The sequence below is a fragment of the Homo sapiens genome, chromosome 10, assembly GCF_000001405.40.
Source record: "Homo sapiens chromosome 10, GRCh38.p14 Primary Assembly".
Taxonomy (NCBI): Eukaryota; Metazoa; Chordata; class Mammalia; order Primates; family Hominidae; genus Homo; species Homo sapiens.
The window spans coordinates 97677331-97693986 of NC_000010.11; the positions used below are offsets into that span (position 1 = coordinate 97677331).

Here is a 16656-nt window from a genome sequence, read left to right on the forward strand (position 1 = left end):
GGAGGCCAGCCCTGATTTTTCCTTCCTGGGGACACTCTTGCCCCTCCCACTCTGTTTCATTTCCTCCCCTTCTGTGACAGACTCACACAGCTCTTGATGCAAATGTTTTTATTTGCCACTTAAACTACAGTTTCCCTGTGCTATCCTGATGGTGTGGGGGTGTGGAACAGGCTGCTGGAACCATGGTTTACAGTAGTAGCAGGTAGATGATTAGTAGCATGAGTGGTGAAATGCTGCATCTAAGTGCCTGTCACTTTGCTCCCAGGGGAATATCATGCAGCCCAGGAATAGTGTTAGACTGGGAAGGACTGTGGCAGGAACAGTCACTGTCTCTCCTCATTTTGGTGAGGAATGGGTCCCACATAATGGAGAGCTCAACAGAAGCATCCAGTCTTGTTCTGAATGGAGCAGGTCAGTGGCAGCAGCCTCTTGCTTTCATTTACCCCTTTGGGCTGCTTGCCTAAAGTCTCTCTTCCTTCACCTCCCCAGGCCTTTTGGCAAGAGGGAAGACACTGCCATTCCTGGCTCTTTCCCTGGATCAGTGTCTGATCTGGTGGAGGTAGCTTGTGGGGCCTGACTTCCTCCAGTTCCGGCGGATCCTGGCACTTTTCTTCCTAGAGTGCAGATACTGCTCACTGGAGGCTGTCTCTGTGGCACTCTGTGGGTTGGCCAGTGCAGAGTGGGGCTCCAGGATTCTGCAGAGAACAAGTGTATGATTAGCCAACATCAATAGGAAGAATGGAATGGGGACTTCAAGAGATTTCGTCATGGTGGACCATAAAACATATGATTTGGAGCAAAATGAGAGCGGGGCTCTGCTCTGGTCTTTCCCCCTCTGAGAACTGTCTGACTAGACAAAGTTTACAGATTTCTCTGCAGTAGAAAGGGTTGGACCAGATCAGGTTGTGCAAAACTCAACATTTCTTCATCCTCATCCTGTACTCATGGCAGATGTCATAAGTCATGCTATTAAACTGGTTTGATAAGCAGTGACTACTAATTAACTGGAGTTAAATACAAGCTATGACACTGACTTGCCATCTCAGGACCTGATGACCTCCAAAGGCCTGTTTAGGTCTGATGTTCTGATTGTGGGCCCCAGAGAAGGCAGCAGAGAGATGAAGCCCAGAGCATCACCCATAGTGATTGGTTGAGGCCAAGTGGTTCAGCTCCATCCCTTTGGGTTCACTCTTCCTGGGCTGGCAGTGGCCTAGGCAAAGAAGTGGCCCACCAGGGAGACTGGGGAGAGATCTCAAGGTAAAAGTTTTCAACAATTTTTAACCCATAATGCCTCGACAGTACATTCCTAGGCTATATTCTCTGTAATCCCCCAGCCAAGATTTTAATTAGGCTTAAAAAAAAAAAAAAAAGAGAATCTCACTCTGTCACTCAGGTCACTCAGGCTGGAGTGCAGTGACAGGATCATAGCTTACTGCAGCCTCAAACTCCTGGCCTCAAGTGATCCTCCTACCTCAGCCCCTGGAGTAGCTGGGACCGCAGGTGCATGCCACCATGCCTGGCTAATTTCTCTTTTTTTTGGCGGGGGGAGGGTGTGTGTGTGTGTGTGTGTGTGTGTGTGTGTGTGTGTGTGTGTGTGTGTGTGTGTGTGTGTGTGTGTGTGTGTGTGTGTGTGTGTGTGTGTGTGTGTGTGTGTGTGTGTGTGTGTGTGTTTTCAGAGACAGGATCTCGCCATGTTGCCCAGGCTGGTAAGCTGAGAATAACGGCAGAATGAGGTGATGCTACTAGGACTCAGGCATCTCTTTCCATGGGAGTTCACAGGGTTGTATATGACTCCAAAAGTAACAGCAATCTTTTTTTTTTTTTTTTTGAGACAGAGTCTCGCTCTGTCACCCAGGCTGGCTGGAGTGCGGTGGCGTCATCTCAGCTCACTGCAACCTCCACCTCCCAGATTCAAGTGACTCTCCTGCCTCACCCTGCTGAGTAGCTGGGATTACAGGTGTGTGCCACCACACCCAGCTAATTTTTGTAATTTTAGTAGAGACAGGGTTTCACCATGTTGGTCAGGCTGGTCTCAAACTCCTGACCTAGTGATCTGCCTGCCTCGGCCTCCCAAAGTGCTGGGATTACAGGGATGAGCCACTGCACCCACCAACAGCAATCTCTTAAGTGCCAACCAAGTGGTGACACTGTGTAGACCTTATAACCACCCCAATGGTGGGCAGGCACTTTACAGTGAGGCCAAGTAACTAGCTCCAGGCCACACAGCCATGCAGTGGTGGAACAGGCATTAGTGCTCTTCCCTCAGCCATCCGGTTCTAGGAACCTACCTGAGGCGGCTGCAGTGGTGTAGCGAGTGGCCCAGGGGTTTCTGCCTTGGGGGCCTCTTCCTGCGCAGCCTCTTGAGGGCCTCAGCCACACGGTGGTCCCCTGCACATTCCCAGATGATCTGTGCCCGTTCCTCGGCCAGCTGGTCCCCGCTGCGTTGAAACAGGGCTTGGATCTGCAGCAGCTCGGCGTCCTGGAAGATGTTGGCCGAGGCCTGCTTGCGGCCCCGGGCCTCAATCGGGGCCTGCCAAGGGGGTGGCTCACTGACCACCGAGGCTGGGGTACCCATTGTGGATGCTCTGAGGATGCAAAGCATGGAGACATCATCAACTCAGCTGGTCCTTCCCAGACCTGGGGGTCCTGGCTAATCCTAGGGCTTCTGATGTTTCCATTCTCCAAGAGCTAAACTGGAGGAAGTCTCCTGCCTTAAAATCACTTAAGCACTTATGTGTCAGACCCCCATATTATCTCATTTAGGATTCAAAGCAACCCATGAGGTAAGAATTATTGTTTATCCTCATTTTACCGATGAAGAAGTGCAACTCAGAGGGGTTAAATGACTTGCCAGCGTCACAAAGCCACGTGCACATGCAGAGCCAGCAGTTGAACCCAGGTCTGTCTAGCTGTAGATTCCATGCAGACGCCAGGATGCCCAGTAGCAGCTCAACTGTGTTGAGTACTTATACCAGGCACCTGTAACAGCTTGCTTCACATAGTATCAATGAGATGTAACAAGCACAACAGCCCTGTAAGGTAGGTATTTTAATCCTCCTCATTTCACAGATGAGGAATCTGAGGAAAGGTTAAGTCATCCATGGTTCTGCAACTAGGATGAGAACCCAGGCCTCTCTGATGCTAAGGCCCAGGTGCCGTAGCACAAAGGTAAGAGAGGAGTTGTGGAGCTGGGCTACCCGAGTTGGAATCCCACTTCTACCCCCTCCACCACTTACTGGCTGGGCATCCCCCCTGCCTCAGCTGCCTCCCGTGTCAAATTATCACCTAGTACTACTACCTACTTTGTAGGATTAATTTGAAGATTGAAGGAAGACAAAGTATATAGAATAGTGGTCAGTGTTTTCAATCTATAAAATTGAGACATCATCCCACCTCCTATCTTTAAGACCCTGGGGATGAACCAAATCTGTATAATTTAGCAAACATAGTATGAAATGAGCCAATCAGATCTAACCACAGTCCAGTGGACCTAATGAGCAAGAGGTGGAGGCAGAAGAGGAGGCTACAAGGGTTAGAATATACTGTCAAGGGCAGAGACTGAAACTTATAAGAAAGTTCAATAGAAGTTAGACTCTGTGTCAATGTCTCCCATCATATCCAGGAAGTGAAAATTAAAGGATCTCCCTTGATTCTAGATAGTTCACTTTGAATAATAAAGGCCTAAGAAGCTTACCCACCCATCCTTGTCTCCAGCACAGCCTGGAAACAAGGGAAGCCTGGCATTACATAGAACAGGTTTTGAGTTCCAACTCTGACACCTTAAGCAAGTTACCCAACCTCGTCTCTGAGCCTGTTTCCTTAACTGTCAAATGGGGATAAGATTACCCACTTCTTAGGGTTATAGTAAGGATAAATGAGCCCAGTATATCAGTTACCCAATAAGAGCTAAATAAAATTATATCAGTTACCCAATAAGAGGATAAATAAAAAATTTAAGAATACAATGATATGGCTGGGCGTGGTGGCTCACACCTGTAATCCCAGCACTTTGGGAGGTGAGGCGGGCGGATCACCTGAGGTCAGGAGTTCAAGACCAGCCTGACCAACATTGAGAAACTCCGTCTCTACTAAAAATACAAAAGTAGCCGGGCGTGGTGGCGCATGCCTGTAATCCCAGCTACTCGGGAGGCTGAGGCAGGAGAATCACTTGAACCCAGGAGGCAGAGGTTGCGGTGAGCCGAGATCCCGCCATTGCACTCCAGCCTGGGCAACAAGAGCAAAACTCCGTCTTAAAAAAAAGAATACGGCCGGGCGCGGTGGCTCACGCCTGTAATCCAGCACTTTGGGAGGCCGAGGTGGGTGGATCATGAGGTCAGGAGATAGAGACCATCCTGGCTAACAAGGTGAAACCCCGTCTCTACTAAAAAATACAAAAAATTAGCCGGGCGCGGTGGCGGGCGCCTGTAGTCCCAGCTACTCGGGAGGCTGAGGCAGGAGAATGGCGTGAACCCGGGAAGCGGAGCTTGCAGTGAGCCGAGATTGCGCCACTGCAGTCCGCAGTCCGGCCTGGGCGACAGAGCGAGACTCCGTCTCAAAAAAAAAGAAAAAAAAAAAAAAAAGAAAAAAAGAATACAATGATACAACAATTAAAAAATACAAATAAAAAATAGATACATTGTAACTACAAAACATTCACATTGTATTAGGTATTATAAGTACCCTAGAGATGATTTAAAGCATGCAGGAGGATGTGCGCAGTCTATAGGCCAACATGGCATTTTATGTAAGTGACTTAAGCGTCCCACGGAGGAGCCTGGAACCACCCTCCATGGATACTGAGGAATTTATAAACGCAAATCCTCCTCTGTTGGCCTCTGTGACCTTTGTACCTGGGTCAGGGGTACAGGTAAACCCTCCTCTTTCCTCTAAGCTGTGTGGCACAGCCAGCTGATGACAGGCCTGTGCTCCCACCCATCTCTCCCAGCCCCAGGCCTGCTGGGGAGAGGAGGAGCAGGTCCTGCTGCTTCTCCAGGGCCTGGTTGCCTAAGTCAGACCTCATTCCACAGCCAGCTACAGAGACAGCTGTCAACAGCAACCAGCTTCCAAAAGGGGAAAAGGAACATTAAAATATTTTTAAATTAAAATATTTACATGCTCATCATAAGAGGCAAACAGTACAAAAGCTTATATATAAAAACTTTTCCAATTTCCTATCAACCCACTTGCAGAAGTAACCCTTCCCCTAACCTGCCTTTTGTTCTCTGTAAGAGTTTGAATTGTCTCCGCCCCACTCATACTCCCAAAATATGACTCCCCCCCTTGCCCTGGCCTTCTCCGCTCCTCACCTCAATAGTCACCCTCATTATCCCAATCATTTCTATGCTCACTCTGTCCCAGTTTCCAGGCCTTCTATCATAAAAACTCCACCCTGTTTTCAAAAGATTTAACAACTACAATAAAGCTGCAGAAGACTTCCAGATGAGTTAACGTCATGAAAATTGTATTTTATTTGGAAAATGGAAATTTAAAAATCTGCCTCTCCTTAGGTGCTATTATGAAAATCCAGTTAAAACCTAATCTATATGGTAATTAAGCCCCCAGAGCTGGATGACATAAACACACTGTGACAAGAAGACAACAGTCGCCAAGTAACACTTTTAGGCTGATAAAAAGAAAAGCTAACTATGGGATATTTACTCTGGATCAGGCAATACGTATGATATCCTTTAATCCTCAAAACAATTCTAGGAGTTAGGGACTGTTATCCCATTTCACAGGGAAGTAAAGGGAAGCTAAGATGCAAATATGAGTACCAGTGGCTTAGCCGAGGCCAGAGGTGGTTCAAATGACTGCAGCCCATGCTTTTATTTTTATTTTTTTTTTGAGAGTGAGTTTTGCTCTTGTTGTCCAGGTTGGAGTGCAGTGTTGCAATCTCAGCTCACTGCAACCTCTACCTCCTGAGTTCAAGTGATTCTCCTGCCTCAGCCTCCCGAATAGCTGGGATTACAGGCGTCCCCCACCACTCCCGACTAATTTTTTGTATTTTTAGTAAAGACAGGGTTTCACCATGTTGGTCAGGCTGGTCTTGAACTCCTGACCTCAGGTGATCCACCCGCCTTGGCCTCCCAAAGTGTTGTGATTACAGGTGTGAGCCACTGCGCCCGGTCAGCCCACGCTTTTAAACCCCCGAGCTGGCTTCACAGCCAGGCAGCTTAAAGAACACTTCACATTTCTATGAAGAATGCTTTCCTATTCCCACCTAATTCATGAAGGGGAAATCCTACCAATGGAAAGGGAAGGACAATGAATTATCCCACCTGGTGGAGGCAGGGGTGGAGCTGTGGAATTTCGTTAGTCTGTTCTCTAGGGTCAGGGCTCTTTCCTGGGTGACAGCCCAGCCTTGAGCCGTAGCACTCTAAAGAGGAAGAGCCCAGCTTCCACAGAAGAAATCAAGAACTGCAACCCAGCCCAGTGCACAGAGCCCTGGCTTACGAGTCAGAGGAGTCGGTTCAAGCCCTACTTCTGCCACTCACTGGCTGAAAAACCTCAGGCAATTCACATCCCCTCTGTGGGTCAGCTTCCCTGTTACTGCTATAAGAACAGCTTGATGCTGTTTGTTTCTGAGGGCCTGCACCAGTGCTGAGAGTCAACAATTCCACCCGCAGGTAAGTCTGTACAGAAGGAGGAACGGAGCTACTTGTCTGCCAAAGCCTAGGGGCAATGTGTGGACAGGTCTGGCTAACTGGGTGCTAGGAAATTCCCCAGCCAGTAGCTCCCTTTCTCCTCCCTACTCTATGTTGTTTTGCTGCAGTGGGCCCTGGGGTTAGCATCTGGTAGAAAACAGAACTCACAGCTCTAAAGCTCCCTAGTGACCTCAGCTGGCAATGACCAAGCCCGGGGCAGACGCCTAGGCAGGTCTGGGGTAGTAGGAGAAAGGGTGATATCTGGCCTCACCTCCCCAGGAAAAGAAGGGCAATAAGGATCATGTAGCAGCAGCTGCCTCGGGGAGGAAATGGCTTGGAGCCTGACTTCCCAACAACCTCTCCCAGGATGGCAAGGCTTTGACTCCACAGCTTCAGCGAGCTGCGAGTCACAAACATACCAAGAAACCCTCAGGGAGAGTCTGAGCCTCCAGCCTCAACCCTCCTTGAACCTTAGGGAGGGCCTAGCACCTCCAGATTTTGAGGCCCCTCACTCTTTTTACTCTTTTTTTTTTTTTTTTTTGAGGCGGAGTCTCACTCTGTCACCCACGCTGGAGTGCAGTGGCGCAATCTCAGCTCACTGCAACCTCTGCCTCCAAGGTTCAAGCAATTTTCTTGCCTCAACAACCTCCCAAGTAGCTGGGATTACAGGTGCCCACCACACGCCCGACTAATTTTTGTATTTTTAGTAGAGACAAGGTTTCACCATGTTGGCCAGGCTGGTCTTGAACTCCCGACCTCAAGTGATCCACCCACCTCATCCTCCCAGAGTGTTGGGATTATAGGCGTGAGCCACCATGACCGGCCAAGCCCCTCACTCTTGGCTCTGTCTCTTATTCTGGGATTCAGACAGCAGAGTGAGGCTGGGAATAAAACTAGGCTGATTCCAGGTAGGATTAGATGGTTAAGTTTTGGGAAAACCGATGAAATGTCGAATCAGAACACTTTTATTATCAAAGGAAACTTTTCCTGTCTCATTCCATGTGTTCAATAGTTATTTTCCCTCCAATTTCCTGGAGAAGACCTTAGTCCAGGAAAAGTCAGTGTATACTTGCACAATAGTACTTTTGAAAACTAGAAAATGAAACCATGGGGCTATTAAAAGATTACAAATGGACCTTTCATTTCAGAACTGACATAAAAGAAGGTAAGTATGGGTCTGTGTACAAACGAGTAAAGACCAATTGCAAAATACTTCAATTTGACACAAACTAGGTTGAAAGTGAACCCCAAAGGAAATACCAAACATTGAAAATGACAAAGTTCAACTTGTTTTGAAACAGGCAATAAGTGAAGAACTGTGGAACCCTAACAAAGAAATATATTTAAAAAGTGACTCACCATGCAATGAATTTGCAATATATAAATATGGCGCGCAATTGAGCACTCTTTGCAATATATGAAGTTCAGTTCAGACAGCTATTCTAGGAGAGTATCTCACTGCAGTCCCAGGGAGGCACAGGTAACCACCAGAGGCAGAACACATTTGGGTGAGCTGGCAACTCCTAGGTCCTCATGCAGGAGGAGGCCCCCTTCCAATAACCCAGGTGATAGCAATAATCTCTGTAATCAGGGGCCTAGGGGCTCTTAGAAAAATTACTGGAGGCTCTGGCCCAAGGCCTGAATCAACACTTGGGACCCTGGCCTGCTATCCTATACAGACATGCCACTGGACAGCAGCCAAAATCTGTGGCTCCTCAAATGGGAAGCCCAGTTCAAATCGCTGTGTGGGCTTCCCCACCAGCAGGGCCTAGCCTCAGGGAGGTATGCCGAGACAACTGGATATACATTGGCCTCCAAATCCATGCCCCTGGAGGTGGAGAAAGGAACTGGGCCCTTTCCCCAGACCAGTTCTCATATATGACCTGGAAATAAACTGCTACTAGATCTAGGGATAACCCTTTCAAGATTTCTAGAACCCTGAATTCTGGCTGTGCTGCTAACTGGGTGACCTTGGATAAGTCTCAGTTTCCCCTGCCACAAGTTGCTCGTCATCAAAATAGTATAAGGCCAGGCCTGGTGGCTCACGCCTGTAATCCCAGCACTTTGGGAGGCTGAGGTGGGAGGATTGCTTGAGCCCAGGAGTTCCAGACCAGCCTGGTCAACATAGCAAGACTGCCTCTATAAAATTTTAAATAAGCTTTTTAAAATAAATGGTGAGTATAAATAACTCTTAACAGGAAAAGGGAGATTAAGTTTGTGACGGCATTCCTTCTAGTACCTGGTATACCACAGACATTCTATGCATGCTGGTTGAATGAATAAATGATGAAGGGAAAGGCTGTTTGACTACCAGGGGCTATAGAATCATTGTCATTTTCATCATCACAGCCATCAACAAATCTGTGTACTTTTAAATCATAGCTTTATGATTAAAATCATAGAGGCAGCTTGTTCAGTGTCAAGCGCAGAACAGAGCACGTTCAGATGGGTGCTTTCTTTCCTCCTCACTTAAGGTGGCACTATTGTTATACCCATTTTACAGATGAGAAAGCTACACCCAAAGTCACACAGCTGGCAGGTGATGGAAGCTGGGACATGAACCCAGGCAGTCTGACCCCAGCACCCGGGCTCTCAAGCCACTGTTATTTTTGTTCCTGCCAGATGGCTGAGGAGGTCTTCTGGGGAAGGTCGGTCCCAGAAGCCTTTCGGAGGCTATCTGCTTCTGTAGATTGTGGAAGGAGCAGGGAGGGATCCAAAGTCAGGACTCCCAAGCTAGCCTCTGTACCCTCTGCACTCCACTGCCCGGTGGAGAATTGGAGCAGGTACTCACCACACTGAAGGGCAGCTCCGACAGACCTCAAATGGGGATGGGGCAAGCTAAGATGCGCCCACTCCAACCTCTTCCACAGCCTTCAGAAAGGGCAGGCGCAGCTCTGCGAAGGTGCTTACAAGGGCCAGTCGGTGATCACGGGCAGCACAAGAGCATGGCAGAGGGTATCCTGGCCGAGGTCCTAAGGCGACATCTGCAGCACGAGGAGGCCCCGGGACTCAGACGTGGCCGCTTCGCAGAACGACGGGGTCCTAAGTGGATCTGGCGGTCGCGTCCCGCTGGCACCCCGGCTCTGACTGTCGCCCTCCGGCTCCCACCGCAGCGCCGAGCTGGGCCGCCGACCTACGTACCTGGTTGCTTGAGGCAGGCCGCACGCAGCCCCAAACTGGTCCGGGCCACTTGGGTCACAGCCGCGGTTCCCGGGAGAAAGCGCTCCCTAGCCCCGGAACAGCCAATCCTCGGCCCTAGCCAGGTATGAGCTCCCAGGCGAGCCTTCCAAACCCAAGGCGGAGTTCCGTGCGCCAATCATCGGTGGGAGACAGGGAGGGGGCGTGTCCATCCCCGCCCCCCGCCTCCGCTGGCCTCGAAAGCGGAGTGCGAAGCTTCCTCAAACCTAATCGGCGGCGGAGCGGCGGTGAGGGGGCGTGTCTGCCCGGGCCCTGCCCACCGCCCTCTCCGCCCCCGCGCGGCGCCCGAGGCGCCCCCTTCATTGACGTCAGTCCCCAGGGCCAGCGCGGTTTTGCTGGCGCGGGAGCTGGGCGGGGCTGCATTCCTGCCCCAGGGTGCGGCGAAAGCTGGCCCTGCCGGGTACACGTGACGGATGCCCCTTCTCCTGGGCCCGAGGCCAGCGCGCGCGGCACTGACTGCCTTGCAGCGCGTGGCCCTCTGCAGATCCTCAGACTCTGCCGCTCAAGTCCCCTCCCAGCCCACCGTTTGGCTCCGGCTTTGAGGGAGAGGAGGGGGCAGTCTGCTGGAGTCAGACCTTGGGCTTCAAAGCCAGAATGTCGTGGGTTCAAATATTGGGTCATTTGTGCGACTTTGGGCCGGTTACCTAAACAAGACCGTATTTTAAAGTTTGTATGCATTCGGAAATGTTCATTAGTGACCTATGCTGTCCGAGTTCCTTGATAGGCCGTAAACAAGAGAGACGGAAAGACCTATAGCCCTTGTCCTGGGGAGTCTACAGCCTAGTAAGGGAGGCAGGCATTAAACAACCTAAAACATGGAGTATGTGATTACAGTTGTGATCAATGTTATGGCTATAAGAGGATAAATATGGAGGAACCTAAGCTTCCTCTGGGAGGTTCAGGAGGGCTGAAGAAGCAGCATTTAAGCTGAGATATAAAGAAGGAGTTGAAACTGGTCAAATGAAGAGGAGTGGATCTGGGGAGACTGCTTTAAGGAAAGAGGGAAAGGCATTTGGTTGGGCCAGGAGGTAGCTTGGCTCCGGAGGAATTAAATGCGACCCGGAGTAAGGCTAGCAAGAGAGAGCACGGTGGGAAGTAGAAGGCAGAGGCAGGCAGAGAAGGTTGCATGTGATCCTTGGAGGGGTTTAAACAAGGAATGGCATTATATGTACTGTGTTTATGTAACGGGCATTTTATAGTACTTACCACGTACCAGTAGTGTCAGTCAGCACTTTGCAAATTTCATCATCATGACAAGTTTGTGTTTTTAGAAGGTCACTCTGGCTGCAGTTTGGAACTTGGATTGGAGGGGGCAGGAGTGGAGGCAGGGTGTCCAGTAGGCCTCTGATAAATGCTTGTTTTGTCCTTGGAAGATGAAGTGTTTGTGCACTTGTTCAGCAATGCTCAGGAAAGGCTCCTGGGTCTCCCTGACTTCCTTTTTACTTCATAGCTGACCTCTTATCCATTTAAGCTTGATTTTTCTTCTGTAAAAGTTGTGGGTGGGAAGGGGAAGAGCCAGCACATGGGGCTTTGTGAATTCCTTGTTGCAGCGTGAAGGGGATGCTTGGGAGCTATTTGTCCTCACCCCATGATCTCCAGTTCCTCTCTCTGTCCTTCTGCACAAAAACAGCGTAAGTGTTGTTGTGCTGTGGCTAAAAGGGTTTTTTGTTTTGTATTTTTGAGACAGAGTCTCACTCTGTTGCCCAAGCTGGTGTGCAGTGGCACCATCTCAGTTCACTGCATCTTCTGCCCCCTGGGTTCAAGCGATTCTCCTGCCTTAGCCTCCCGAGTAGCTGAGACTACAGGCACGTACCACCACACCTGGCTAATTTTTGTATTTTTTAGTAGAGATGCAGTTTCACCATGTTGGCCAGACCGGTCTTGAACTCCTGACCTCAGGTAATCCACCTGCCTCGGCCTCCCAAAGTGCTGGGATTACAGGCGTAAGCCACCATGCCCGGCCGCTAAAAGGTTTTTTTGTTTGTTTGTTTGCTTTTTTTGAGACGGAGGCGCACTCTGTCGTCAGGCTGGAATGCAGTGGCACGATCTCGGCTCACCGCAACCTCTGCCTCCCGGGTTCAAGCGATTCTCCTGCCTCAGCCTCCCGAGTAGCTGGGATTATACGTGCAGGCCACCATGCCCGGCTAATTTTTGTATTTTTAGTAGAGATGGGGTTTCACCATGTTGGCCAGGATGGTCTCGATCAATTGACCTCGTGATCCTCCGGCCTCAGCCTCCCAAAGTGCTGGGATTACAGGCGTGAGCCACAGCGCCCGGCCCGTTAAAAAGGTTTTTACAGTGGCTTCTCTTCACTTTTCCTCAAGCCCTGGGGAACTGTTGAAAAGAACAAAGAAATCAGCGATGTTCGTCTCCAGTGGAAAGTATTGGTGCAGAGACTTTCAGCCAACTACTTTGCTAAGGAGGGGACTGTGCAGGCTCCTAAACCAAAGGCTGAGCTTCTGAGCCAGTGACTCCCACTGGCCCATTCTAACCAATGGGGAAGCCAGACTCTTGGCATATCAGTGCTGGGTGAACCTAGGAACTCTGATGCCATGAGCTTAGATGAGCATCCCGAGGTAGGAATTGGGAACTTGTGGTTTCTGGCTCAGATGTGACTAAGGCTGGGTGGAGCGTATCTGGTATCTCCAAACATTTTTGCAGGCATGTGACCATGTGCTTACCACACAATGGAACCATTTCTGTTGTTACAGCTTTGTGATTCAATACTTCTGGCGAGAAGGTGGGGCACTCCACAGTTGTGTGGGCCATGTAAGCCTCACCAGAAGTGGAGTAACATCTGAGACCCACAGAATGGTGCTGGAGACAGTAATCACCCCGGACGGGGCCCTGTTTAGAGAAAGTCAACTCTGGGGAATGGAAACCTCATGAAATTCAGGCCCAAACTTGAGTTTACCCAGGGGCCTAGATTAAAGTGAGTTTAGTGAGGAACTCCCTTCAGGCATAAAATTTAAGAGGGCACCAAAAAATTCAGGAAACCCAAGATAAATAATATCTTAACACAATATTTTTAAAAATCGAAATTAATGCAAAAAATCCATGATGAACAGAATATCAACATTTAAAATATAGGCAGACTATTGTTTATGACCTTGCATTATTTTGCAATGGGAACAGTCATTACCAATCAGCCCATGGTTCCCAGGCAGACTGCCACTGCGTGTCCTGACAAGTGGCTTTATGAGAGTTGACAATAACATGTGAACAGATTGAATAACATGGAACTTTATATGTAGTCTTTTTTTTATTGGAATGCTTTTATCCACTTGTTCTATTTGGTTCAAAATATGGAAGGTAAGTGCATATAGGACATATATTTTTTCTTTTGTCTTGGGCTCGAATATGGTTCAACTCAGTACTGGTTTTTACCCTCAAAGGAAGTAAAGTCTAGGAAGGGGGTTCTAGCTGTTTTACCTTAAGCAAATGACTTAATTCCTCTGCCTATTTTCTTGTCTTTTTTTTTCTTTTTTTTGAGACAGAGTCTTGCTCTGTCACCAGGCTGGAGTATAGTGGCCCAATCTCAGCTCACTTCAACCTCTGCCTCCCGGATTCAAGTGATTCTCCTGCCTCAGCCTCCTGAGTAGCTGGGACTACAGGCGTGTGCCACCACGCCCAGCTAATTTTTGTATTTTTAGTACAGACAGGGTTTCACCATGTTGGCCAGGATGGTCTCTATCTCTTGACCTCGTGATCTCTCTGCCTCGGCCTCCCAAAGTGCTGGGATTACAGACGTGAGCCACCCAACCTGGCCTCTTTTTCTTGTCTTTAAAATGAGAATAATCACACCACTTTTCAGTGTTGCTGTGAAGATGAATTGAGGTACTGTAGGCTGAGTTCTTAATATACACCTTGCTATAGACACTAAACCAGCATTGGACTCCTTCCCTCTTTCTATCCTGCAGGAATGGTTCAAGCAGCTGGACAGTTATGGTTCCCTAATGGGGCTGACACTTATTCCCATGGGTTTCTTATTGCTATTTGTCCTGTTCTGGGCAAAGCAGAGAGAACTTTTACACTCAACTGACATGCAACAGTGCAACTTTTGAATTAACTCTGATTTTCTTGATAAATAATCATGGGCATTCTAAACTTTTTAAGAAAGCCCCTTCTGCTTATGACATTACACAAGGCAGCTAGACTATAGCCCTCTTCTATCAAGTGACAATCTGGACAGGCGAAAAATAGCAAAGTCCTTATAGAAAAATGGTACAAGCTGGGCGCCGTGGCTCACGCCTGTAATCCCAGCACTTTGGGAGGCTGAGGCGGGTAGATCACAAGGTCAGCAGTTCGAGAACAGCCTGACCAACATGGTGAAATGCCATCTCTACTAAAAATACAAAAAAATTAGCTGGGCGTGGTGATGGGCGCCTGTAGTCCCAGCTACTTGGGAGACTGAGGCAGGAGAATCGCTTGAAACTGGAAGGTGGAGGTTGTAGTGAGCCGAGATTGTGCCACTGCACTCTAGCCTGGGCAACGAGAGCAAAACCCTGTCTCAAAAAAAAAAAAAAAAAAAAAAGAAAAGAAAAGAAAAAAGAAAAATGGTACATTATAGAAGCACTAAAAAAGTACACTATTCATGTAGATTAGAATTAAAGGTCAGTATTGTATTAGCCTGCTGTAACAAAATACCGTAGACTGGGTGGCTTAAACAACATTTATTTTCTCACAGCTTTGAAGGCTGGGAAGTCCAAACTTAAGATGCCAGCCAATTCCATTTCTGGTGAAGGCTCTCTTCTTGGCTTGTAGATGGCCACCTTCTCACTGTGTTCTCACATGCTGAAAGAGAGACAGAGAGAGCATTTGTGAGTAAGCTCTGGGGTCTCTTCTCTTCTCACAAGGACATTCATCCTTATCTTTTTTTTTTTTTTTCTTTTTGAGACAGAGTCTTGCTCTGTTGCCTAGCCTAGAGTGTAGTGGTGAGATCTCGGCCACTGCAACCTCTGCCTCCCCGGTTCAAGTGATTCTCCTGCCTCAGCCTCCCAAGTAGCTGCGATTACAGGTGCGTGCCACTATGCCCTGCGAATTTTGTATTTTTAGTAGAGACAGGGTTTCACCATGTTGGCCAGGCTGGTCTTGAACTCCTTTCCTCAAGTGATCCGCCCGCCCCCACCTCCCAAATTGCTGAGATTACAGGTGTGAGCCACCGTGCCTGGCCAAGGACAGTAATCCTATTGAATCAGGGCTTCACCCTTACGACCTCGTTTAATCTTAATTACTTCCTTGTTCCCAGTGGAGTCACACTGGAGGTTAGGGCTTCAACATATGAATCTTGAGGGACCACAATTCAATCCATAGCTAGTATGAACTCATGGTTTTAAAGATATTGATAAATAGATACAAAAATAAATATAGCTGGGTGCAGTGGCTTGCGTCTGTAATCCCAGCCACTCAGGAGGCTCAGGTGGGAGGATTGCTTGAGCCCAGGAGTTTGAGGCTGCAGTGAGCTATGGTTGTGCCACTGCACTCTACCCTGGGTGACAGAGCAAGACCCTGTCTCTAAAAGTAAATAAAGCCATAAATGTATATCTATATATATCTCTCTCTATATATATATGTATATATATTTGCATACATGTACATATATGCATATGTATGTATATGAACAATCACGTTCACACACACACGTGCACTCCCCAGCTCTGTTGGTGAAGAAGGCCTAGAAACAACGATAGTCTAGTGGGAATAACCACACTTAGCACCCAGATATTGACCTCTCAATCACCATTCTCTACAAAAAGGGACTATGGATCCTTGGAGAAATGGTTGATTCTAGAATGAAGTTGAGAAAATTCAAGATGAACCTGGAACATCTTGTTGTGCCAGAAAGTAAGGAGGTTCTCAAAGAATAATGCAGACATGTCAAAGGACCAGGAGTCAGGTTAAAAGGGCTCCCACTGGCCAAAGATGGGGCAATTAGGCATCAAAATAAAATATAACAGTAATAAATTATAATGTAATAAAATAAGAATGCTTAAGTCCACAATAATATCAATCAGTAAATAAACAGGGGAAAGAAGAAAGCCCTTCCTTACAGTAGAATGCTCACTAGTAAATGTAGAAGGAATGACATAGTTAGAAAATCATCAGTGGCTACTAGAATTAGTGGGTGAAAATTTATTGATGAACAGGATACTTATATAGTCTAAAACGTATCTCTTCACAAATTACTTATTAATTCTAAAGAAAAAAGTAGTGACTACAGTGGAGAGACCTAGCAGACACCAAGTTAATCAAAAATCAAAGTTAACATCACCAATGCTGGGGCAAGTGATCATAATGTGCCTCCTGATACAATGTACTGGGAAAGACACAGCACTACTTCTGTGATATACCTGCTAAAAAATACATAATCAGTCAGGCTGGGCACGGTGGCTCACGGCTGTAATCCCAGCACTTTGGGAGGCTGAGGCAGGCGGATCATGAGGTCTGGAGTTCGAGACTATCCTGGCCAACATGGCGAAACCCTGTCTCTACTAAAAATACAAAAAATGATCCGGGTGTGGTGGCACGTGCCTGTAGTCCCAGCTACTCAGGAGGCTGAGGCAGGTGAATCGCTTGAACCTGGGAGGCAGAGGTTGCAGTGAGCCTAGATAGCACCACTGCACTCAAGCCTGGGTGACAGAGCAAGACTCCGTCTCCAAAAAAAAAAAAAACTATAATCAGTCTGGATCAAATCAGAAGGAAACATCAAACAAATCCAAACTGAAAGATATTCTATAAAAGAACTGGCCAGGCAGCCAGGCATGGTGGCTCACGCCTGTAATCTCAGCACCTTGGGAGGCCAAGGTGGGCAGGT

General features: G+C 48.1%; 1 protein-coding gene across 2 annotated transcripts, besides 5 other annotated features; it reads right to left on the reverse strand.

Annotated features, from left to right (window-relative positions):
- Window positions 1-93: 93 nt before the first annotated feature.
- Window positions 94-9911, reverse strand: AVPI1 (arginine vasopressin induced 1). 2 transcript variants are annotated; one of them, XM_017016494.2, is made up of 3 exons: window positions 9436-9911; window positions 2289-2583; window positions 94-695 (listed from the first exon to the last, which is right to left on the reverse strand). In XM_017016494.2, the coding sequence occupies exons 2-3, from the start codon at window positions 2573-2575 to the stop codon at window positions 539-541; spliced, it is 444 nt and encodes a 147-aa protein (XP_016871983.1). In that variant the 5' UTR covers window positions 2576-2583; window positions 9436-9911; the 3' UTR covers window positions 94-538. The 2 variants fall into 2 exon arrangements, with proteins under 2 accessions (XP_016871983.1, NP_068378.2); NM_021732.3 differs by having other exon boundaries at window positions 2289-2585.
- Window positions 9048-10001: an enhancer, noted in NCBI's record as "H3K27ac-H3K4me1 hESC enhancer chr10:99446135-99447088 (GRCh37/hg19 assembly coordinates)". NCBI's record gives its function as "activates a minimal SCP1, AML or CMV promoter by ChIP-STARR-seq in naive H9 embryonic stem cells {active_cell/tissue: H9 hESC(naive)}" and the evidence as "EXISTENCE:reporter gene assay evidence [ECO:0000049][PMID:30033119]".
- Window positions 9048-10955: a biological region, named in NCBI's record as "BRD4-independent group 4 enhancer GRCh37_chr10:99446822-99448021".
- Window positions 9735-10934: an enhancer, noted in NCBI's record as "BRD4-independent group 4 enhancer chr10:99446822-99448021 (GRCh37/hg19 assembly coordinates)". NCBI's record gives its function as "activates an origin of replication core promoter dependent on BRD2, P300/CBP, MED14 and CDK7 cofactors, and independent of BRD4, by STARR-seq in HCT116 cells {active_cell/tissue: HCT116}" and the evidence as "EXISTENCE:reporter gene assay evidence [ECO:0000049][PMID:35650434]".
- Window positions 9898-10277: a silencer, noted in NCBI's record as "silent region_2684". NCBI's record gives its function as "represses an Ori minimal core promoter by ATAC-STARR-seq in GM12878 lymphoblastoid cells {active_cell/tissue: GM12878}" and the evidence as "EXISTENCE:reporter gene assay evidence [ECO:0000049][PMID:35858748]".
- Window positions 10002-10955: an enhancer, noted in NCBI's record as "H3K27ac-H3K4me1 hESC enhancer chr10:99447089-99448042 (GRCh37/hg19 assembly coordinates)". NCBI's record gives its function as "activates a minimal SCP1, AML or CMV promoter by ChIP-STARR-seq in primed H9 embryonic stem cells {active_cell/tissue: H9 hESC(primed)}" and the evidence as "EXISTENCE:reporter gene assay evidence [ECO:0000049][PMID:30033119]".